Consider the following 24025-nt stretch of genomic DNA (forward strand, 5'->3'; position numbering starts at 1 on the left):
TATTTTTTCTAGAGACGAGGTTTCACAGTGTTGCCCAGGATAGTCTTGAACTCCTGAGCTCAAGCAATCTCCCTGCCTTGGCCTCCCAAAATGCTGGGATTACAGGCATGTGCCACGGTGCCCTGCCAATAGTTACAAGCTCTTATGTTTCTATAGTTATGTAAAGTCTGAAAAATGCCAAGAATGCACATGAAGAGCATGTAATACGTGTAATGAAACCATTATAGGAAATACTATGTGTTGCTAAATATAATGCTTATTATTTGCAAATTATAATTTTGGTTGTCCCAAACTTGATGATTATTTGTATATTTTTCATAAACTGCAAAAAGAATTTTCAGAGGACTTAGTGACAAACAAAAGGTATGATATAAAGCACACAAAAACATATTCTCCATGGAAAGAAAAGTTGGAATTGAGAGGCCTAGGAGAGGCAGCCTCCATGTATTGATGAAATTACAGTTAAATTAGAAAGCAGAGAACAATTGAGTAGGTTTGAAAAATGAGAAACAGTTAGCAAAAAAAAAAAAAAAAATACACACACGCACACATATATGTATGATAAGAAGTTTTAAAAATGATTAAAAGAGGTATCCATGAAGAGATGAACACAATTTGAATATGCACTTAGCACATAAGGATGTACAATCAATATGCAACATAGTGTTTTGAATCCTAACTGATAATAAAATAACTACAAAATCCTGCAAACTCATAATATTTAGCTAGGTTATTCTGTAAACTGTATTTTACTGATAATTAAAAGTAATTTTAGTGAGAATAATAGTGTGTATTTTATATTATCAATAATTTGTTTTCCTTGCTTATTTCTCTTTGCTGCAAAATGGGTTAGTAAAATACTTTGGGCGTCAGTTAATGTACACTTGAAAATGCTTTTAGTTTTATTCTGAAAAAGAAATGATATCAATATACATTTATAAATGTTATGAATAGTTATACACTTTCTGATTAAACAATAAAATCCAACATCTTTAGCTTTCTAAATGGTGCTTTTTCTTGTACGTATCTATATTTAATTTTTGTAAGAAATATTTGCTATATAAGAGAGAAACTATGAGACATTTATGTAATTTATAAATAATAAAAATTAAACAAATAGCTGAGAAACTCTGCCTATAATTAGATCAAAATTATTTTTGTAAATTATATGGCTCTTCAAAATATTTCTTCCTCGCTTCCTTACTTTCCTGGAAATAGTGTGCTTTCCCACCCCTAGAATTTCTGTTTGTGCATTTGACTTGTTTTGGCCAGTGGATATTAACCAATATCAAGCATTCCAAGGCTTGCTATGTGCATTCGGTGTAGAGCTTGCTGTCCTGTGTTTCCTCAATGTTAAAAATAGCCATTGAGTAGTTACTGTGCCTTCAGACTCAGCCCCAGAATGTACCTGTGTAGGACAGAGTTGCTCTAGCAGACCTGAATTGAGAAGCAATTCTACCCCGACTACCACAGCCTGAAGCTAAGTGGCCCAGCTGACCTACAAATCATAAACAATACCCCCAAAAAACAAATTATCATGTTAAATCACTGAAATTTGAAGTCATTTGTTCACAATAGACTTCAAATTTCAAATAGCTAATCAATAGATTTAATCATTTATAGGATAGAAATCACCTACCTATTTGACCCATTCCCCTACTTAGCACCTAGAGACAATCAATCAACCTGAACATTTTGAATGGCACTATCTGTTTTTCTAAACATAATTTTATGTCACATACATGTATTCACATATATAATGATATATATAGTATATCTGAATATTTTATTTTTACTTCATTAAGATATGTCAGAATGTATATGGTCATCTGAGTCTTATTTTTTCCTCAATATAGTGTCTCTACATTTTATCCACATTGTTATGTGCAGCTGTAGTATATTCATTTTCACTGCTCTATAATATCCATTATGTGACTTTTCCCACATATTATTTATCCATGTTTGTTACTAACATGTTATTTCGATGATTTTCATTGTTTGCTAATACAAACAATGCTCCAAGGAGCATTCTGCATATCTGGAGATTGTATATGTTGAAGCACATGTGTAAACGTTTCTCTAGGGCATCAGTTCTCAAACTTTTGGCCTGAGGATCTGTATTTGTTAAGGTTTGCCAGAGAAATATAATAGAACGAATATGTGTGTGTGTGTCTGTGTGTCTGTGTGTGTGTGTGTGTCTGTATGTTGATGTGTATATATACATATGTATTGTGTGTATCTCTCTGTGTGTGTATATATATGTACATGTACATATATGTATATGTACATGTACATATATGTATATGTACATGTACATATATGTATATGTACATGTACATATATGTATATGTACATATGGATATATATGCATACACATACATGTGTGTATGCATATATATACAAAGAGATACATGCAGAGACAGAGATAAAGAGAGAGAGAACAGACTCTCTTTGGCTCACATGATTGTGGGGACTGTTAAGTCCAAAATTTGTAGGGCAGGTGAGCAGGCTGGGGATCCAGGGAAGAGTAGATGTCTGATTTTGCAGCTTAAATCTGAAGGAATTCCATCTTATTTGGGGACCTTAGTGTTTCCCTTTTAAGGCCTTCAACTGATTGGAAGAAGCCCACTCATGTTGTAGAGAATAATCAGCTTTACTCAACATCTACTGATTTATGTGTTTATTTCACCTAAAACATACCTCCACAGAGATATTTAGACTGATGTTTGACCAAACATTGTGGTAGCATAGCTTAGTAAAACTGACGCATAAAATTAGCTATCACCATACCCCTTTATTACCTTAAAGATTATTAAGTACCCTAAAGAGATTTGGTTAGGGGCTTATATCTATTGATGCTTATTGTATTATAAATTAAAACTTAGAAATCTTAAAGATATTTATTAATTTAAATAACTATAGAAAGTTCATTGCATGTTAACTAAACATTTTAATGCAAAATCAATATAATGCCTAAAACAAAAAAATTAATGAAAAGTGTGACATTATTTTATACTTCTGTAAAAATCTTTGTGGCACCTGGCTCAATAAATTGCCAGTAGAGGAAAATTTTTCTGTTCTTGTCAACCTTAGCAGAAATTTATTTATTTTATTACTCTTCAAAGAACCATTTTGGTCTTTGTTGATCTTCCATTCTATTATTCTATCATATATATAGTATACGCTTTCTAACCTCAAAATATATGCACAGCACAATGATTTTAAGTCTGTTCTCTTTTCATTATAACCAGTTAAAATTAAATTCCCTTCAAAATACTGATTTGACTTCATGTCAGAGTTTTGATGTGTTGCCATTCAGTTCTATTTTAAAACATTTCTTCTCTTATGTATGTTATTTAAAACTGTTTTAAAATTTGCACAAATATACTTTATCAGCATATTTGTATACTGATCGATGAGTGATATTGATCTTTATTTCATAAGCTTGTTGGCCACATGTATGTCTTCTTTTGGAAAGAGTCTGTTCTTGTTATTTGCCCATTTTAATGGAGTTGTTTGTTTTTTGCTTGTAAATTTGTTTATTTTCCTTACAGATGCTGGATATTAGAACTTTGTCAAACACATAGTTTGTAAATATTTTGTCCTATTCTGTAGTGTATTAGCCTATTCTCACACTGCTGATAAAGAAATACCCGAGACTAGGTATTTTATAAAGGAAAGAGGTTTAATGACTCACAGTTCCACATGGCTGGGGAGGCCTCATAATCACGGCAGAAGGTGAATGAGAATCAAAGTCACGTCTTACATGGTGGAGGCCAAGAGGGCATGTGCAGGGGAACTCCCCCCACCTCTTTTTTTTTTTTAATTATACTTTAATTTCTGGGATACATGTGCAGAATGTGCAGGTTTATTACATAGGTATACATGTGCCATGGTGGTTTGCTGCACCCATCAACCCATCATCTACATTAGGTATTTCTTCTAATGCTATCCCTCCCCTAGTCCCCCACCCCTCAGCAGGCCCCAGTGTGTGATCTTCCCCTCCCTGCGTCCATGTGTTCTCATTGTTCACCTCCCACTTATGAGTGAGAACATGCGGTGTTTGGTTTTCTGTTCCTGTTTTAGTGTGCTGAGAATGATGGTTTCCAGCTTCATCCTTGTCCTTGCAAAGGACATGAACTCATACTTTTTATGGCTGCATAGTATTCCATGGTGTATATGTGCCACATTTTCTTTATCTAGTCTCTCATTGACTGGTATTTGGGTTGGTTCCAAGTCTTTGCTATTGTGAATAGTGCTGCAATAAACATACATGTGCATGTATCTTTATAGTAAAATGATTTATAATCCTTTGGGTATATGCCCAGTAACGGGATTGCTGAGTCAAATGGTATTTCTGGTTCTGAGGAATCGCCACACTGTCTTTCACAATGGTTGAACTAATTTACACACCCATCAACAGTGTAAAAGCCTTCCTATTTCTTCACATCCTCTCCAGCATCTGTTGTTTCCTGACTTTTTAATGATCCCCATTCTAACTGGCATGAGATGGTATCTCATAGTGGTTTAGATTTGCATTTCTCTAATGACCAGTGATGACGAGCTTTTTTTCATGTTTGTTGGCTGCATAAATATCTTCTTTTGAGAAATGTCTGTTCATATTCTTCACCTACTTTTTGATGGGGTTGTTTTGTTTTCTTGTAAATTTAAGTTCCTTGTAGATTCTGGATATTAATCCTTTGTCAGATGGATAGATTGCAAAAATTTTCTCCCATTCTGTAGGTTGCCTGTTCACTCTGATGATAGTTTCTTTTGTTGTGCAGAAGCTCTTTAGTTTAATTAGATCCTATTAGTCTATTTTGGCTTTTGTTGCCATTGCTTTTGGTGTTTTAGTCATGAAGTCTTTGCCCATGCCTGTGTCCTGGATGGTATTGCCTAGGTTTTCTTCTAGGGTTTTTATGGTTTTAGGTTTTACGTTTAAGTCTTTAATCCATCATGAGTTAATTTTTGTATAAGGTGTAAGGAAGGGATCCAGTTTCACTTCTCTGCATATGGCTAGCCAGTTTTCCCAACATCATTTATTAAATAGGGAATTCTTTCCCCATTGCCTGTTTTTCTCAGGTTTGTCAAAGATCAGATGGTTGTAGACGTGTGGCATTATTTCTGAGGCCTCTGTTCTGTTCCATTGGTCTGTATATCTGTTTTGATAACAGTACCATGCTCTTTGGGTTACTGTAGCCTTGTAGTATATTTTGAAGTCAGGTAGTGTGATGCCTCCAGCTTTGAAATTCCCTTTATAAAACCTTCAGATCTTGTGAGACATTCACTATCTTGAGAACAGCACAAGAAAAACCTGCAACCATGATTTAATTACTTCCCACCTGCTCCCCCCATGACACATGGGGATTATCACAATTCAATGTGAGATTTGGGTGGACACACAGCCAAACCATATCATATAGGTTGTCTGATTACTCTGCTGACAGTTTCTTTTGCTGTTGAGAAGCTCTTAAGTTTAATTAGGTCACACTTGTCAATTTTTGTTTTTGTTACAATTGCTTTTGGCATTTTTGTCACGAAATCTGTGCTAAATCCTACATCCAGAGTGATATTTCCTAGGTTATCTTCCAGGGTGTTTAGAATTTTATGTTTCACATTTAAGCCTTTAATCCACCTTGAGTTTATTTTTGTATGTGGTATAAGGGAGGGGTCCAGTGTCAATCTTTTGCATCTGGCTAGCACATTTTATTGAATAGGGAATACTTTCCCCATTGCTTGTTTTTGTTAGGATTGTTGAAAATCAAGTTGAACATGTGTGGCATTATTTCTGGGCTCCCTATTCTGTTCCATTGGTCTGTGTGTCTGTTTTTGCACCAGTACCATGCTGTTTTGGTTACTGTAGTCTAGTAGTACAGTTTAGTCAAGTAATGTGATGCCTCCAGCTTTGCTATTTTTTCTTAAGATTGCCTTAGCTATTTGGGCTCTTTTTTTGGTTCTATAGGAATTTTAAAATATTTTCTAATTCTGTGAAGAATATCATTGGTACTTTGATAGAAATAGCATTGAATCTATAAACTGCTTTGGGCAGTATGGCCATTTTAATAATATTGATTCTTCCTATCCATGAGCATGGAAGATTTTTCCAGTTGTCTGTGTCACCTCTGATTTCTTTGAGCAGTGTTTTGTAGTTCTTGTTGTAGAGACGTTTCATTTCCTGGGTTGGCTGTATTCCTAGGTATTTTATTCTTTTTGTGGCAATTGTGAATGTGACTGTATTCGTGATTTCACTCTCAGCTTAGATGTTGTTGGTATATAGAAATGCTAGTGATTTTTGTACATCGATTTTGTATCCTGAGACTTTGCTGAAGTTGTTTGTCAGATCAGGGAACTTTTGGGCCAAGATTATGGGGTTTTCAAGATATAGAAATACATCATCTGGAAACAGGGATAGTTTGACTTCCTCTCTTCTTATATGGATGCCTTTTCTTTCTTTTTCTTTCCTGATTGCTATGGCTGGAACTTTGAATATTTTGTAGAGTAGGGATGGTGAAGAAGGCATACTTGACTGGTGCTGGTTTTCAAAGGGAAGACTTCCAGCTTTTGCCCATTCAGTATGATGTTGGTTGTGGGTTTGTCATAGATGGCTCTTATTATTTTGAAGTGTGTTCTTTTGATGCCTAATTTATTGAGGGTTGTTAATGTGAAGATGTATTTTATCAAAAGACTTTTCTGCATCTATTGAGATAATCATCTGGTTTTTCTTTTTAGTTCTGTTTATGTGATGAATCATATTTATTGATTTGTGTATGTTCAACCGAGCTTACATCCCAGGGATAAAGCCTACTTGGTCATGATGGATTAGTTTTTTGATGTGCTGCTGGAATTGATTGGCAATTATTTTGTTGAGGTTTTTTGTATCAGTGTTCATCAAAGATATTGGCCTGAAATTTTATTTTTTGTTGTATCTCTGACATGTTTTTGTGTCAGGAAAATAGTGGCCTCATAAAATGAGTTGAGAAGGAATCTCTCCTCCTCAATTTTTTGGAACAGTTTCAGTAAGAGTGATAGGAGCTCTTCATTGTATACATATGGTAGAATTTGGCTATGAATCTATCTGGTCCTGGGTTTTTTTCTGGTTGATAGGCTGATATGGTTTGGCTGTGTCCTCATCCAAATCTCATCTTGAATTATAGCTCCCATAATTTCCATGTGTTGTGGGAGGGACCTGGTGGGAGGTAATTGAATTAAGGCAGGACTTGCCTGTGCTGTTCTTTTGTTAGTGAATAAGTCTCATGAGATCTGATGGTTTTATAAAGGGGAGTTTCCCTGCACAAATTCTCTCTTGTCTCCTGCCATGTAAGACATGCCTTTTACCTTCCACCATGACTGTGAGGCCTCCCCAGCCATGTGGAACTGTGAGTCTATTAAATCTCTTTTTCTTTATAAATACCCAGTCTCAAGTATGTCTTTATCAGCAGCATGAAAATGGACTAATACATAGACTTTTTATTACTGATTCAGTTTTGTAACTCATTTTTTTTGTCTGTGCAGGGATTCATTTTTTTTCCTGGGTTCAGTCTTGGGAGGGTGTATGTGTCCAGGAATTTTTCCATTTTTTTCTAGATTTTTTAGTTTGTGCATAGAAGTATTCGTAATAGTCTCTGATGGTTATTTGTATTTCTGTGGGTTCAGTGGTAATGTCAGGATCAGTGTAATGCCCTTTGTAATTTCTAATTGTTTTTATTTGGATCTTCTTTCTTCTTTATCATTCTAGCTAGCAGTCTCTCTTATTTACTTTTTCAAATAACCATTGATTATTTGGATTAATTAATCTTTTGAGTGATTTTTCATATCTCAATGTCCTTAGTTCATCTCTGATTTTGGTTATTTCTTTTGTGAGTTTTGGGGTCAGTTTAATCTTGGTTTTGTATCTTATTAAGTTTTTTAAATTACCATTGATTATTTGGATTCATTGATTTTTTTCAGTGGTTTTTTCATATCTCAATCTCCTTAGTTCATCTCTGATTTTGCTTATTTCTTCTGTTAGTTTTTGGGTTCAGTTTACTCTTGGTTCTCTAGTCCATTTAGTTGTGATGTTAGGTTGATAAATTGAGATCTTTCTAACTTTTTGATGTGGGCATTTAGTGCTATAAATTTTCCTGTTAACACTGCCTTAGCTGTGTCCCAGAAATTTTGGTATGTTGTGTCTTGGTTCTCATTAGTTTCAAATAACTTCTTACTTCTTGATTTCTGCTTTAATTTCATTATTTACTCAAAAGCCATTCAAGTGCAGCTATTCAATTTCCATGTAATTGTATGTTTTTCAGTGATTATTTCAGTCTTGATATGTAATTTTATTGTGCTGTGATGCAAGAGAGTAGTTGATATGATTATAGTTCTCTTGCATTTGCTGAGGATTGTTCTGTGTCTCATTATGTGGTAGAGTTTAGAGTATGTGCATGTGGCAATGAGAAGAGTGTATATTCTATTTGTTTTGGGAGGGGAGAGTTCTGTAGATATCTATCAGGTCCTTTTGATCCAGTGCTCAGTTCAGGTCCTGAATATTTTTGTTAATTTTCTGACTCAATGATCTAATACTGTCAGTAGGGTGTTGCAGTCTCCACTATTATTTTGTAGGAGTCTAAGTCTCTTTGAAGGTCTTTAAGAACTTGCTTTATGACTCTGGTTGCTTCTGTGTTGAATGCATATATATTTAGAATAGTTAGGTCTTCTCATCGAATTGAAATCTTTGCCAGTATGTAATGCTCCCCTTTTTTCGTCTCTATCTGTTTAAAGTCTATTTTGTCTAAAATTAGGATAGTAACCCCTGCTTTTCTCTGTTTTCCATATGCTTGGTAGATTTTTCTCCATCCTTTTATTTTTGAGCCTCTGAGTGTTACTGCATATGAAACAGGTCTCTTGAAGACAGCATACCAATGAATCTTGGTTCTTTATCCAATTTGCCACTCTGTGCCTTTTAATTAGGGCATTTAGCCCATTTACATTTAAAGTTATTGTTGATATGTGTGAATGTGATCCTGTCATCATGATGTTAGCTTGTTATGCAAGCTTGTTTGTGCGGTTGCTTTATAGTGTCACTGGTCTGTATACTGGCAGGTTAGGATGCATGCACACACACGTTGGCATGGGGGAAGGTAAAACCCACCCACGTACACACATGTTGGCAATGTGATATATGTGGTGGCTCTGGGCCTGGAGGAAGCTGCAGTGGGGGTAGGGAATAGGCAGGCTGGTGTGTGGCCATGGGGGCTGCCCCATTGGACCTCTCTGCCAGTCAGGCACAGTTCACCACTGCAGGAGCTATTATGTGGGCTCCCAGAGCACCTGCTTGTTCTACAAGCAGGCATGGCCAGGCTGGGGCCCTGGAAGAGGCCAGCAGACCAAGGGGTGCTCAAGTCAGACTAGCCCCATCTGATGGGCAAGACCACCATGCAGAGTTCAAGTCTGAGAGTTTCCCTAGGGATAATGTCTCCTGTGGTAGCATGTCGAGCCTACAGGGATGGACATCTCTTGTCATACTCTGCCACGAGTGCTTAGGCACCAAATCCTTTTGGCTCTGCATCAGCTGGCATGCTGCCCCTACCAATTCTCTAAGCAGCTCTTTGTTCCAACTCAAGTATCCGTCATAGTTTAGGGGTCTCCTCCTGCCAAGATTCCAGAGGCCTGTGGCAAGAGTAGGTTGATCCTTGTCAGTTCAATTCACCCATTCCTTTGGAGTTGTTGGAGGGTAGGAATTAGTCCCCTGCCTGGTAGCCTCCTGTAGGGTTCCCAGCTTCCTCCCACTTGAGCACAGCTTTTGTATCTTCCCTCCATCCACTCTCACAGGCTTCCCTCTGAAGCTCTGTCAGGAGTGTGCCAATTTTCTTGGTCCCTTGGTGGCAGTTGTTCCACCTGGTTGTGTCAAGTTGGCCATCTTCTACTTAATCAGGTCTTCTTGTTGAATTGAAACTATTGCCATTATATAGTGCTCTTCTTTAGCTTATTTGGTCTTTGTTGGTTTAAAGTCTGTTTTGTCTAAAACTAGGATTGCAACCCCTGCATTTTTGTGTTTGTTGTTGTTGTTGTTGTGGTGGTGGTTTACTTGGTTGATTTTTCCCCATTCCTTTATTTTGAGCCTATGGATGTCATTGTATGTGAGATGGGTCTCTTGAAGACAGCATACTATTGGGTCTTCCTTCTTTGTTCAGCTTGCCATTCTGTGTATTTTAATTGGGGGATTAAGCTGTTTACATTCAAGGTTACTATTCATATGTACGAATTTGATCCTGTCATCATATTGTTAGCTGGTTATTATGCAGACTTGTCTGTGTGGTTGCTTTATAGTGTCACTGGTTTGTGTACTTAAGTGTATTTTTGTAGTGGCTGATAATGATCTTTCTTTTTCACATTTAGCACTCCTTTCAGGACCACTTGTAAGGCAGTTCTGGTGGTAATGAATTCATTCAGCATTTGCTTGTTTGAAAATGATCTTATTTCTCCTTCACTTATGAAGCTTGGTTGGGCTGGATATGAAATTCTTGTTTCAAATATTATTTTAAGAATCCTGAATATAAGCACTCAATGTCTTCTGGCTTGAAGAGTTTCTGCTGAAAAGTCCAGCCTGATGGGATTCCTTTTGTATGTGACCTGTCTCTTCTCTCTAATTGCCTTTTACATTTTTTCATTCATTTGGACCTTGGAGAATCTGATGATTATGTGTCTTGGAGATGGTCTTCATGTATAATATCTCACAGGAGTTATATGCATTTCATGGATTTGAATGTTGGTCTCTCTAGCAATGTTAGAAAGTTTTCATGTACAATATCCTGATATATGTTTTCCAAGTTGCTTACTTTCCCCCTGTCTCTTTCAGGGACACCAATGAGTCATAGTTTTCATCTATTTACATAATCCTATATCTTTTGGAGATTTTGCTCCTTCCTTTTAAATTCTTTTTTCTTTATTTTTGTCTGACTGAGTTATTTCAGAGAGCCAGAATTTGAGCTCTTAGATTCTATCCTCAGTTTCTTCTATCCTGCTGTTTATACTTGTGATTTAATTATGCAATTCTTGTAGTATGTTTCTTATCTCTATTAGATGAGTTTGGTTCCTTTTTTATAATGGCTATTTTGACTATCAGCTCCTGTATCATTTTACTGTGATTCTTAGCTTCCTTGGATTGGGTTTTGCTGTTTCCCTGTATCTTGATGATCCTTGTTCCTGTTCATATTCTGAATTCTATTTCTCTCATTTCAGATATTTCAGCCTGGTTAAGAACTCTTGCTGGGGAAATAGTATGATTATTTAGAGGAAAGAAGGTACTCTGGCTTTTCAAGTTGTCAGAGTTCTTTCACTGGCTTTTTCTAATTTGTGTGGGCTGATGTTCCTTCAGTCTTTAAAGTTTCTGTCCTTTCAATTGATTTTTTTGTTTTTTTCTTCATTGATGCCCTTGGGGATTTTATTATGTTATAATTGAGTTTGGTTGACTGGCTTTGATTCTAGTACACTACTGGGTCTTGGTGGCACCCTCTATGATTACTGTCTGCATGCCCGCATTTCTTCTGTTGGGCTTTCTGATCTATTGAGTTTCCTCAGGCAAGGGCTGCGGTTGACAGACAAGCTGTATTCTTGCCAGGTTGGCCTTAATTTGATGTCCATGTGCTCCCTGGGGAAACATGGGGTTGCACTTGCCTGCAGAGTTCAGGCAGAAGTGGGACCTCTGGGTTGGAAGCTCTAGCAGGTGTGGTCCATCTGGCTATGGGAGGCAGGGGTGAGTGGAGTTGCCTACCCTGACCTCCTGGTGTTTCCAGGGCAACAGGAGCCTGCCTGCACCCCTCAGCAAATTCAGGGAAAACTAGGACTGTTGGGCCAGCAGCCCTATCAGATGTGGCTCACCTGTCCACCAGTGGCAGGGGTTGGTGGGGATGCTTGTCCTGCTTTCTGGGAGCTTCCTAGGACAATAGGAGTCTACCCACTGGTTGAGTTCCCACAGAAGTGGAACTGCTGGGCCAAAAGCTCCAGCAGGCATTGCCTACCTGGCTGCCAGTGGCAGTGTCAGGCAGCGTCGTGTGCCCTGCTGTCTGGGTGTTTCCTGGGACAACAGAAAGCTGCCCCCTCTAGATCAGTCCAAACAGAAGCCAGACTGCTGGGCCAGAAGCCCCAGCAAGTGTTGCCTGCCTTGCAGGGTCAGTGGGATCACATGCCTTACTGTCCAGGTGTTTCCTGGGACAACAGGAGGCTTGTGCTCCTCAGCTGAGTTCCCTCTGAAGCAGGACCACTGAGCCAGAAACTCTATCATGTGTCGCTTGCCTGGCTATGAGTAGCAGGGATGGATGGGGTTGTCTGCCCTACCAGCTGGGTGTTTTCAGGGCAGCAAGAGGCTGTGCCCTCCAGCTGAGTTCAACAAAAGTAGGACTGCTGGGCGGGAAGCTCTAGCACACATTGATCACCTGGCAACCAGTGATGAGGGCAGGTGAGGTCACATGGTGCTGTGCTCTCTGGGTGTTTCCCAGGGCAACAGGAAGCTGCACCTTCCAGCTGAGCTCACATAGAGGTGGGATGACTGGGCTGGAGGCTCTAGCAGTTGTTGCCCACCTGGCTGTCCATGGCAAAAGTGGGTGGGGTCATGTGCAGCCTCCTGCCACCTGAGTGTTTCCCGGGACATCAGGAGGCTGTATCCTGCAGCTGAATTTACACAGAAGTGGAACAACTGGGCTGGAAGCTCTAGTAAGCATTGCCTGCCTGCCTAGCAGTGGTGGGGGTGGGTGGAGTGGCAGGCCAAATTCAGGCTGAAGTGGGACTGATGGGCTAGAAGCTGGTGCTGAGCCCCATCTGGCAAGGGGGTGGGTGGAGCAATCTTACTGCTCCCAGGCACTGCAACTATGCCTTTATTCAGGTGATGGCACTGGTGCTGGTCTGCTCTGGGGTTAAAGGCTTGTAGTCCCCTTGGACTTGATAGTTGCCCCTGCAAAATGTCTGGATGGCTCTCTCCCTCAGTTTGGAAGCACAGCTGGGGGCCAGGCAGATTTTCCTACTCCCAGTCTTGTACAGGTCTCTGCAGAGAGCATGAATCTCCTGGGGAGCTCTCACTCTCTCACCCTTTCCCATTTTTGTAGAGGTTCTTCTGCGCCACATTGATCCCAGACAGATAGCTTTGCTCCTCTCTGTTCTCTGTGTTCTCCTGCTGCCTTCATGGATCCCAGCATGGTTTCTCAGATGATTGGCCTGCAGGGTCAGTGTTGACTAGCCTTTTAGTTCCTCTCTGTGAGAGCAGCACATACAAGCTGCTTCTCGTCTGCCATCTTGGCCCTATCCCTCATCTTTATTTTCATTTCCTTTGGCCTAGGTAACTTTTTTTGGTACTTTTTCATTTTGCTTTGCTTTGCTTTGCTTTGTTTACTCTCAATCTTTGTATCTCCTTAGAAGTTTAGTGTGCCTCGTGTAAAAATCATATAGCTGAATTTGTTTCTTTTTAGCCAAACTGAAAAATCTTTGTCTTTTATGTCTTTTAGCTTCCACTTTAGTCTATTTGTGTTTGTTGGATTTGTTCATATGTTTGTATTTCTATCTAAAAACTTATTTTTAAAATTCATTTTCTATTTGTATCATTTATTCTAGTGCTTTTTTCCTCCTTTCCTATTTTCTTTTAGATATATTAGATGTTTATAATTGTAAGTTTTTCTTACCCATTTCTTTTTTTCTTATACTGGTTTGGAAGTCATATGCTCTATTACTATTCTTATAGTGCTCACTCTTAACATTTTACCATGCTGACTGAATTTAGTAAAGCCTAAATTGATCAAGGTTTTACTTCTCTTCTTAATAGCACATGAACTTTATTAATACTATATCATTATTGTTTTTTTTTATTTTTACAAGCATTTTTGTTTTATTTTTGCAAGCATTTTATTTATCTACACAAATATTTCTATATACTTACATGTTTACCAAATTGTTTGCTCACTATTTCTTCCCTTTCAGATCTTCTGTCCCTAAAATATATCCTTAGTAATTTCTGTAGGAGAGGACTGCTTTGTTTAGTTGGAACATTAATACTTGTTCTTGTTTCTTTTCTTCCTTTTTTTTTTTTTTGAGGTGGAGTCTTGCTGTGTTGCCTAGGCTGGAGTGCAGTGTCACAATCTTGGCTCACTGCAACCTCTGCCTCCTGGGTTCAGGCAATTCTCCTGCCTCAGCCTTCCAAGTAGCTGGGGCTACATGTGTCCACTACCCTATCCGGCTAATTTTTGTATTTTTAGTAGGGATATGGTTTCACCATGTTGGCCAGGCTGGTCTCGAACTCCTGACCTCAAGTAATCTGTCTGCCTTGGCCTCCGAAGGTTCTGGAATTACAGACATGGGCCTCTATGCCCAGCCTTGTTCTTGTTTTGAGAGAGATTTTTGATAATTCCAGAGTAACATTATTTTCTATTAGCTCTTTGAAGAAATTTCACCCCTGTGACTTATTTTCTCTGTGATGTTGTTTAAGTGTTTTAGAGATAATGTAGTCATCTTATGAGTCATAGTGAAGATCAAATATATATAAAGAGCTTATTAGTGTTTCTAACACATATTTATCACTATATAAATAAATAACCTTATTTTTCTTTTTTCCCTCCTTTTTTTCTTATAATTCTTATTATTGCCAATGCTGCTCAGCAATTCACTAAAATGCATCTAAGTAAAAATTTCTTTTTATTGACACCACTGTTTATCCTGTTTGGTATACATTTTTCTTTCCAAACATGTGGTTCTAGGTCTTAAATTTTCTAGTTTCTGTACATTCTCAACCCTTAATTCTTTGAATGTTACATCTATCTTTTATTTCCATTCTCTTCTGGAATTTTGATTAGGAAAATATACTTTTTTATTGTATCCTTTATAATTTTAACCACCTATACTGTGTTCAGTTCCTCATCTGTCTATAGTTGGGATAATTTTTTCAAATATGTACTTTATTTATTTTTATTTTTTATTTCCATAGGTTTTTGCGGAACAGGTGGTGTTTGGTTACATGAGTAAGTTCTTTAGTGGTGATTTCTGAGATTTTGGTGCACCCATCACCCAAGCAGTATGCACTTTACCCAATCTGTAGTCTTTTACCCCTCGCCCCACTTCCATTCCACCCTTTCCTCCAAGTCCCCAAAGTCCATTGTATCATTCTTATGCCTTTGCAGCCTCGTAGCTTAACTCCCACCTGTGAGTGAGAACATATCATGTTTTTCATTTTTTTTCCGGATTTATTTCCCAATTCATTTACTCTGAATTTTGCTGTTTCTCATATGCTATTTAACCCATCCATTGATTTCTTAATTTCAATAATTTTATTTTTAAAATTTCTAAATATATATTTTTTTCAGATTTGCAGATTCATGTTATAACCTTACGTCGTTTGATCTTTTTATTGTAGCTGTTATTTCCTTATATACTTTACTTATAGTTATATTTTGTACCCTTTAATTATAACAACTAGTGTCCTTCAGGGTATTTGTTAATTTTATTAGCTCATCCTCAGTCATGGCTTCTTATTTCCCATTATGTGTTTGAGAATAATTTTGTAAGCTCATACTTGGTTGAATTTTATTTGCAGAATTTTGAGTAGCTAATTTCTAATAACTTGGGCTGTATACCAACAGCGTGGATCTACATTATTAGTCAGCTCAGTCTGCCATAACAAAATAACAGAGACTGGGTAGCTCAAATAACAGAAATTAATTTCTCACACTCCTGGAGCCTAGAAGTCTAAGACCAGAGTGCCAGCCTGATCAGGTTCTGGTGAGGGCCCCCTTCTTGCCTTGTAAATGGCTGCCTTCTTGCTGTGTCCTCACAATGCAGGGAGCGAGTTAACTCCAGTCTCTTTCTCTGATTATAAAGGCACTAATCGTATTACAGGGTTCCCGTGCTCATGACCTTGTCTAAACCTAGTTATTTCTCAGAGGCCCTACCTCCGAATACTGCCACATTGGAATTAGGGCATCAATGTACGGATCTGGGAAAGGAGTGGCACAGTCAGTCAGTCCATAACATTCACTTGTGCTCTTTTTGAGAGCTTTGGTTCCTTCTATTTGTGTGGAGCCCAGGGAAACTCTGATCTTTTGCATCTCTTAAAACACACTTTTTTGATTTTAGTGTACCATTCTTTTTCTCTCTCTTGATTTCTCTCAGCCCTCAGAAATGGCCTTTATTTTTTCATGAACCAAAGTTATACAGTTTTCCATATTTCAGGCCATGTTTTTGAAAGGCAAAACCATTTCAAAAGAATGTTCAGAAATTTATATTTGATATATTTTGGATTTAGTATATGAGCTCTGACTCTATATATTAAAAACTTATGGGAATATTGTTTATATTTATTGTTGACTAAATATCAGTTACAGCACTCACAAAGAAATAATACTGCTTCATTCTAGTTGTAATTATTCCAGTGTGATTTGTTTTTTTTGCCTGGCACATGGTTTAAAACACAAAATAAGCATATAAAACTTATATGAGAGGGTTTTTCAGCCACAGGCAGAAACATACCACAATAATTTTTATCCTATGCTAAGATTTTGGTCCATAATAACATGATACCCATTGGAAAGATAGATTTGAGAAAGAAGCATGCTTAAATAATTTTTAAATTTTTTTACATGCATGTTTTTGGATAAGTGTATTGTTCAATCTTTAATATTAAAAACTAAAATTCTGAATGACAAACATATGTGCAAACCAACTATTGTGGCAAAAACAGTTTTTGTTGGTGAAGGGACTAGCTGCCATTTGGTGATTTTTCAGATAGTCAAATTTGAAAAATCAATTGGATCTTCTCTTCTCTTCTCTTTTCTCTTTTTGAGATGGAGTCGCAGTCCCCCAGGCTGGAGTGCAGTGGCATGATCTCGGCTCACTGCAACCTCTGCCTTCCGGGTTCAAGTGATTTCCTGCCTCAGCCTCCCGAGTAGCTGGGATTACAGGCACACGCCACCATGCCTGGCTAATTTTTTTTTTTTTTGTATTTTTAGTAGAGACGGGGTTTCACCATGTTAGCCAGGATGGTCTCTATCTCCTGACCTCATGATCTGCCCCCCTCGACCTCCCAAAGTGCTGGGATTACAGGTGTGAGCCATCACACCTGGCCCCTTGGATATTCTTTTCTAACTCAAATGAGAATATCCTCATTATATAATCCACCTTCTCTCCAGAAACTTCAAGCTCTTTCTCTCTAATGGTGGCTGTTTCTACGCTGCAGATAGAAATTACATTTCCCTCTTAGCTGAAAAATACCCAAGCCTATGAGCAAGAAAACAAAATATTTTTTGATTCTACTATTCCCTCTGTCAGAGATGCCAGAAACTTTTTCTTCTTCATTTATAGCATAATTTCATTCATGCTTGCATGCATTTCTATATTTACTTACTCTAAAGCATTTACTAAGCACTTTAATTGGTCAGTCATGAGGCTTGGTGCCGTAGAAACAGAGATGAAATGCAATTCTCCATCATAAAACAGTCTGGCAGGGAGGAGGAGGATAAATAAGTGGTATATTACAATTCGGTGAGAGAAAGTACCTAAGAGAACACATTTAAAAAGCATGCAATGCAGAAGGATGTGTAGAAGATGATGGAAGTAAAATTTTCTTGCAGCTGATGTTACACACACACACACACACACACACACACACACACACACAAAACCAACTAGATGTTTCTGTTGGTGTCATTGACACCTACCCATTTCTTTTCTTTTCTTTTTTTTTTTTTTTTTTTTTTTTTTTTTTTAAGACTGAGTCTTACTCTGTTGCCCAGGCTGCAGTGCAGTGGTGCGATCTGGGCTCACTGAAACCTCTGTCCCCGGGGTTCAAGCAACTCTCCTGCCTCAGCCTCTCGAGTAGCTGGGATTACAGGCGCACGCCACCATGCCCGGCTAGTTTTTGTATTTTTAGTAGAGACGGGGTTTCACCTTGTTGGCCAGGTTTTTCTACAACTCCTGACCTCAGGCGATTCGCCTGCCTCGGCCACCCAAAGTGCTGGGATTACAGGTGTGAGCCACCGTGCCCGAGCCTGACGCCTACCCATTTCTTAAACTAGCTTTTGTGTCCACCACTTGGAAGCCACTGCTTTAAGATCTACTGATTACCGAAATGCAAAATTGAATGAGTCATGCTCAACCACCCAGCACTTAAACATCTCTTTGATCTCTCATGATCTAACTCAAAGGTATCTCATTCCTGATTCACTTCTTCCTTCATCCAAACTGCACTCCTGAAGCATTTAATTAATCTAAACATAAGCAATGCTGACTTACTGTTTCATATTGTATTATGTTTTTGAAACTGATTTAGCCCATGTCTGAATCTTTATTGTTCTGAAGCCCGATCATCCAGAGCCTAATATATACAACGCTGAACCAAACAAACACATGATAACAAAAACACTAATTTAGTGAATTAATCTAGAAGAATCTAGCAGAATTAATCTAGAAACTGCACAGCAGCAGTTTCTCTCTTCAGCTTGAATTACTAAGCAATTCAAGTTAGCAATTGTGTAGACCCAAATAAGATAATAATATTTAGTCATTTAGATATGCCACTACAAGTAAAAATAAATCAGATACATACACATACACACAAATTACTCATAGAATGCAGTATTCATAAAAATTATGTTACTTTTTAAACAAGCTGTCTTTTTATGTTTTTGCAAATAGTGGCGACAAATTGGCTACTTCAAGTGGTGACACTACAGTTAAATTATGGGATCTATGTAAAGGCGATTGCATTTTGACCTTTGAAGGACACAGCCGCGCAGTGTGGTCCTGCACATGGCACTCCTGCGGCAATTTTGTGGCTTCCTCCTCACTGGATAAAACTAGCAAAATTTGGGATGTTAATAGGTAAGAAGTACTTTAAACATTACTAATCCTCTGTGCTGATACATATACGTGGGTAAAGTGGTAAAGTTCTTTTTTTTTTTTCCTTGATGCTACCCCAGGGAAACATTAAAAGAAACTGTTAGTTGATAAGATTATAGAGAGCTACTTAAATAATCTTTGTGAAATCCATTTCTAACTCCATTAATCTTTGTTGATTAATAATTTCTTTCTAAATGTAAGTATCAAGATCAAGCCTATGTAATAAGATTAGAATTGCTTCATTGGAAAGCTGTTTGTTTCAAGCAGGATAGAAACAAATACTTCTTTTAAAGAGTTGGATTTTTAGTTCCGCTTTCCACAGGCTTGTTATTGCTCTGTACTATTAAATGTAATAGTTCAACGAACGTAAATATAACAGAAATAATTATTTTCTTTATGCTTAATTTGTTATGTCGTGATATTCTTGATTAAATGTTTCTTGTCGATTCACAAATTGTAGGAAATAGTATACTGTATTGTATGTAAAATCCTATACATATCATGTGGATTTGGAAGTTTTATGTTTTGATTTTAATTCAAGGTAGACAAATTCATTATGTTTCAAATATTGAAATTACTATCACCCATATATTTTTGGATGCTCATTACCTTCTGTTAGGTTTGCAGATATGATACAAAGAGGTAAATTTAGCTACTATCAAATATGCTAATTCCTTCAGCTAAGGGGTTATATATCATCCATCAAACTTTCTCAGTAGTCTGTGGTCCTAGCTCTGGAAGGACCTCCATCCACCAGAGGAACACCCATAACAGCAGAGAAGTGCCCTCTCCTCGGAGGACTGAGGTTCCGTTTTGAAGGTCCTCCCTTCAAGGGTCTAAGTTTTAATATTCTACCTTATTCCCTGTGTTCGCTCAGTCCTAGGGGTGGTAGCTCTTTCTTGAAGTTGTTATCTCCATGATATTTTAATGTTCTTTTCCCTTTTTTAGTTACTTAGTTAGCAACTTTATTCAGTTTTTACCATCCTGCATGTGAAATTATTATTGTTACAATGATAGGTGCAAGTTCCGTTTCCTGACAAGTCCTTGAAAGATCCAGGGCATTAGTGGATAAGGAGCATAACCCACCTGAGTTATAAAGCTATAGCTAAATAAAATTAGCCTGCCCCATAGGAGAAAACATGACTGTGAATAACATATTTTAGACCTATGTCTATCTGAAATAGTGACAATTTCAGATAGCTTTTAATTCTCAGATGGGTACTTACTATTTATCTGGAATATCCAATCATTTATAATTCTTTATTATATTTCTATAATGTGTGACTGGATTTCATAAATATTTTTATAATAGATTAATGGAATTTTAGCACTAGTATTTAATTTGAATTTTGTATCACTTTTGACTTGGTTGAGGATCGTAATAGAAAACAGTGATCTTTTCTAAAATGTAATATGTCTTTAGAACTCTTAACTACCCAGGGTGTTTAAAAGCAAACTATGGTTAAAAAACTCAGTAGTCTCAGCCCTACTTGGAATGATTTCAAACACTTTGACTTGACAACTTTTCTTTATGACCCTGGTATCTAAATACTGACTTCCAATTGGTGCCCAGTAAATCTTGATATTACAGATCAAAATTGCTTCTGATTGATGCCAAAATTCTTTAAACTTCAAGTTTCCCATCACTGTCAAGAGTTCACTTTCATCATCAAGGACAAAATAAATTGTACTAATTTTGGCATTGAGGTGGTGGATAAGTATTGACAAATAAAGTAGAAATTGATTGTTTCTATAGTGGCTATTGATATACCTTTCAGAGTCACAATCAAAGTACCAAGCTCTAATTTATAATTACTCTCAGATCAATACAATATAGATATGTCTAAAACTAGTGTCTTTCTTCAAAATTTCATAGATTACTTGAACTGGCTTAGTTACTTAAGGCAAGAGATTATTTGCCTTGGTAAGATGGATGGTGCTGGAGCTATGTATGCTGTGTCATATATTCTTGGCTTGATACTGCATATATATATATATATATATATATATATATATATATATATATATATATATATTTGTTGTTGTTGTTGTTGTTGTTGTTTTTAAGACTGAATCTTGTTCTGTCACCCAGGCTAGAGTGCAGTGGCACAATCTCAGCTCACTGCTCTGCAACCTCTGCTTTCTGGGTTCAAGCAGTTAACCTGCCTCAGCCTCCCGAGTAGCTGGGACTATAGGCACGTGCCACCACACCTGGCTAATTTTTGTATTTTTAGTAGAGACGGGGTTTCACCATGTTGGCCAGGCTGGTCTCAAGCTTCTAAGTGTTTGAGAAACTCCCAAAGTGCTGGGGTTACAGGCGTGAACCACTGCGCCTGGCCATGCTGCATAGTTCTTAATAAATACCAAATTTATATTGGTAGACAGTATTAGTCACCAGAGAAGGAAGAGTTTAGAATACATTCTTCTCTTTTCACACCCGTCCTTTCCTTCAAGCTTCTGGCTCAGTCTTGAACAGCCTTGATTGGTGTTCTATCTCTAGCTCTGCAGCTGTTTCTGAATTGGGCAATACTTGGTAAGACCATCCATTTAGTTCCTCACCAAAAAGTTGGATCACTGTGAAGCATCAACAATATAGAAAATTTCAGATCAAGATTCATATTTACTGAGTGCTAATCAGAATCTATGAACAATTATCTATGACACTCAGTCTGAATAATTCCATACTCTACAAGGTTTCTGTGAATAATTAACAGTAGCTTTTTTATTATCTTCTGAATGATCAGGTATATAAATTGTTATGTATTTCACTTAATGGTTGTTTGAAAACACACACACACACACACACACACACACACACACACACACACCAGTGTAACCCAGAGAGTGCTTGGCACATGGTGGTTTACTTACATAAATGAATAAAGAGTGATTCAACAAGTAAATATGGCAAAAGTATTCTAAATATTCTCCCTGACCCATCCACATTTAAACTACAATATAATTATGCTGTCTTATCCTACACAAATCAATAAAATGATGAAAATGGGGTAGAAAAATCAGAAAATAGCTATAAAAAATAATTTGTATTTCTTTAGAGGCATTTAGAGGCATTTGTATATAACATTAAGCAGTAAGTATTCATGAAATGACTTAACAATGTTGGTCTGTGTTATAGATCTAAGACAATTCTCATACTCAACCATTGCCTTCAATGAGATTACAAGTAATTTAAAATGCAGCAATTTTAAAGCAATAAGGGAATATGCAATGCATCTACCATTTATATTTATAATATCAGATCAGGTATTCTAGTTGACTCCTGGCTGCTTTTCTTCCAAGGTAGCTGGGTATTTGACTGAGCAGTTATATCACACTGTTACTCTGATATTTGGAAGGCAGACCATGTGCCTGCTTAGCTTGTAGCTCGAAGGAGAAGGGGTCGGAAACAGCCAAAATGTTACTGAATGTTGCTATTCCAGCTGTTTTAACAAGGTGTTACACAGACAAGAATTGGGTGGTTTGTACCAAGGATAGTAGGAAACAGAGGGACTTGCAAAATTCAACAGCTTCTTGACCCCTAATGTTGGGAGATAAATCTGTGGCCCTTATTTCTAAGTGTATTGTGTCCAATACTCTTGTAATTACATGGGAAGAGGAAAATAAAGAAGGTTTAAGAACTGTGTTTACTTTAATTTGTGGTTACTGTGGCATTGCGTTGCCTGGAAGCAACTATATTAGAAACCTACCAAGTTTTTGAGAGAATTGTATTGACAAGGAAACTATGAGCCTATCCTTAAATCCCGTTGACTCTTCAAACAGTGAAACAGTCCTCAGAGCCCCAAACTTGCATCCAAAAAAAGTGGACTTGTATTTTTGCACAGTTCAGAAGGAAGGCAGAGACCATAGCACCAATCTCAATATGGCCACAGAGGATAATGAACAAGAAGGAACCTACAGTGGAACTAAGCCAGAAGCTACAAAGAACAATGGGGAAAGGTGCTCCTCTGGGGGACAGCCATGGTCCAATCAAGGAACTTTCTTCAGTACCACGGCAAAGTTCCTCATGATGCCTGCCTAGTTTTTCACTATTTGGACTAGTGATGCTTATATGTTTCCCATGTTTCCGTTTTCTGTATTACAGTTTATACTGCAGTTATTCTGTCCTTACTTCACAATTGTGCATTGTGTTCATGGTGGTGATGGTGGTGGGAAGCAGAAAACTTGTATTTTGTTTTGTTGGTTACCATAATGCAAGTGACACTGCTGAACCAAATGATGCAGATTGTGTGTCAGCCACAGATCATGAACTGTGAGACATGCAGTAACTGAAGAAGAGATCTGGGGATGTTTCTTTTTTTGGTTGTGGAGAGAAGAAAGTCAGTGAATATTCTAAGTGTGGAAGAAAGGATGACAGATATTTGGTGAGAAAAAGGCCAAACTGTGGCAGAGACTGTTAGCTTTTCACTAGAATCCACTTTTTCCTCCTTCCATATTAGTTAGGCACTTGGCTATATATCTAAATGATATTTATTAGCCTCAATTAGTTAAGTATGTCTGCATCACTAAGTTCTATACAATAGAATATTAGTTAAAGTAGCAGGTACTATTTCCTCATTCTTGCCCCCTTGTGGTGGAATGGAATACCAGTGACAATGACCACAATAATCTTAGAAGCCTATTATTGAAACTGAAAGAACAATTGTCAAGCTGCTTGAAGTAAAGCCACCCCTGTTTTGTAACTTCAGTTAGGCTGCAACATTCTCTGGACTCTCCAGCAATAAGAAAATACACTTCCAGGCCTGGTGCGGTGGCTCATGCCTGTAATCCCAGCAGTTTGGGAGGCTGAGGCAGGCCGATCACGAGGTCAGGAGATCGAGACCATCCTGGCTAACACGGTGAAACCCTGTCTCTACTGAAAATACAAAAAATTACCTGGGCGTGGTGGCAGGTGCCTGTAGTCCCAGCTACTTGGGAGGCTGAGGCAGAAGGATGGCATGAACCCAGTGGGCGGAGCTTGCAGTGAGCCGAGATAGCGCCACTGCACTCCAGCCTGGGCAACAGAGTGAGACTCCATCTCAAAAAAAAAAAAAAAAAAAAGACACTTCTATTTGGTTTGAGACATTATATTTCCAGTATATTTGTTACAGTATTTTTGCTTGCCTAGTCTACTATAGGCACCCATGAATACTTTTCAGGTGATATGTTTTTCCCTCATGAC

The 24025-nt window shown here is 37.7% G+C and overlaps 1 protein-coding gene across 16 annotated transcripts in view; it reads left to right on the top strand.

Moving 5' to 3' along the window:
* Nucleotides 1–24025, top strand: part of SPAG16 (sperm associated antigen 16) — a 1126038-nt gene that overhangs the window by 626854 nt on the left and 475159 nt on the right. For 15 of the 16 annotated variants that reach the window (NR_047659.2, NR_047660.2, XM_011511814.2 and 12 more), the window contains one exon: nt 18643–18828. The exons of the other annotated variant lie outside the window; for it this stretch is intronic. Coding sequence is in view for 13 of the 15 variants with exons in the window: in XM_011511814.2 (XP_011510116.1) it covers nt 18643–18828 (186 nt within the window). In the remaining 2 variants the exon portion in view is untranslated. The remainder of the gene's footprint in view (nt 1–18642; nt 18829–24025) is intronic. 16 annotated transcript variants of the gene reach the window in all.

Source organism: Homo sapiens, chromosome 2, assembly GCF_000001405.40.
Source record: "Homo sapiens chromosome 2, GRCh38.p14 Primary Assembly".
In the NCBI taxonomy this organism is placed as follows: Eukaryota; Metazoa; Chordata; class Mammalia; order Primates; family Hominidae; genus Homo; species Homo sapiens.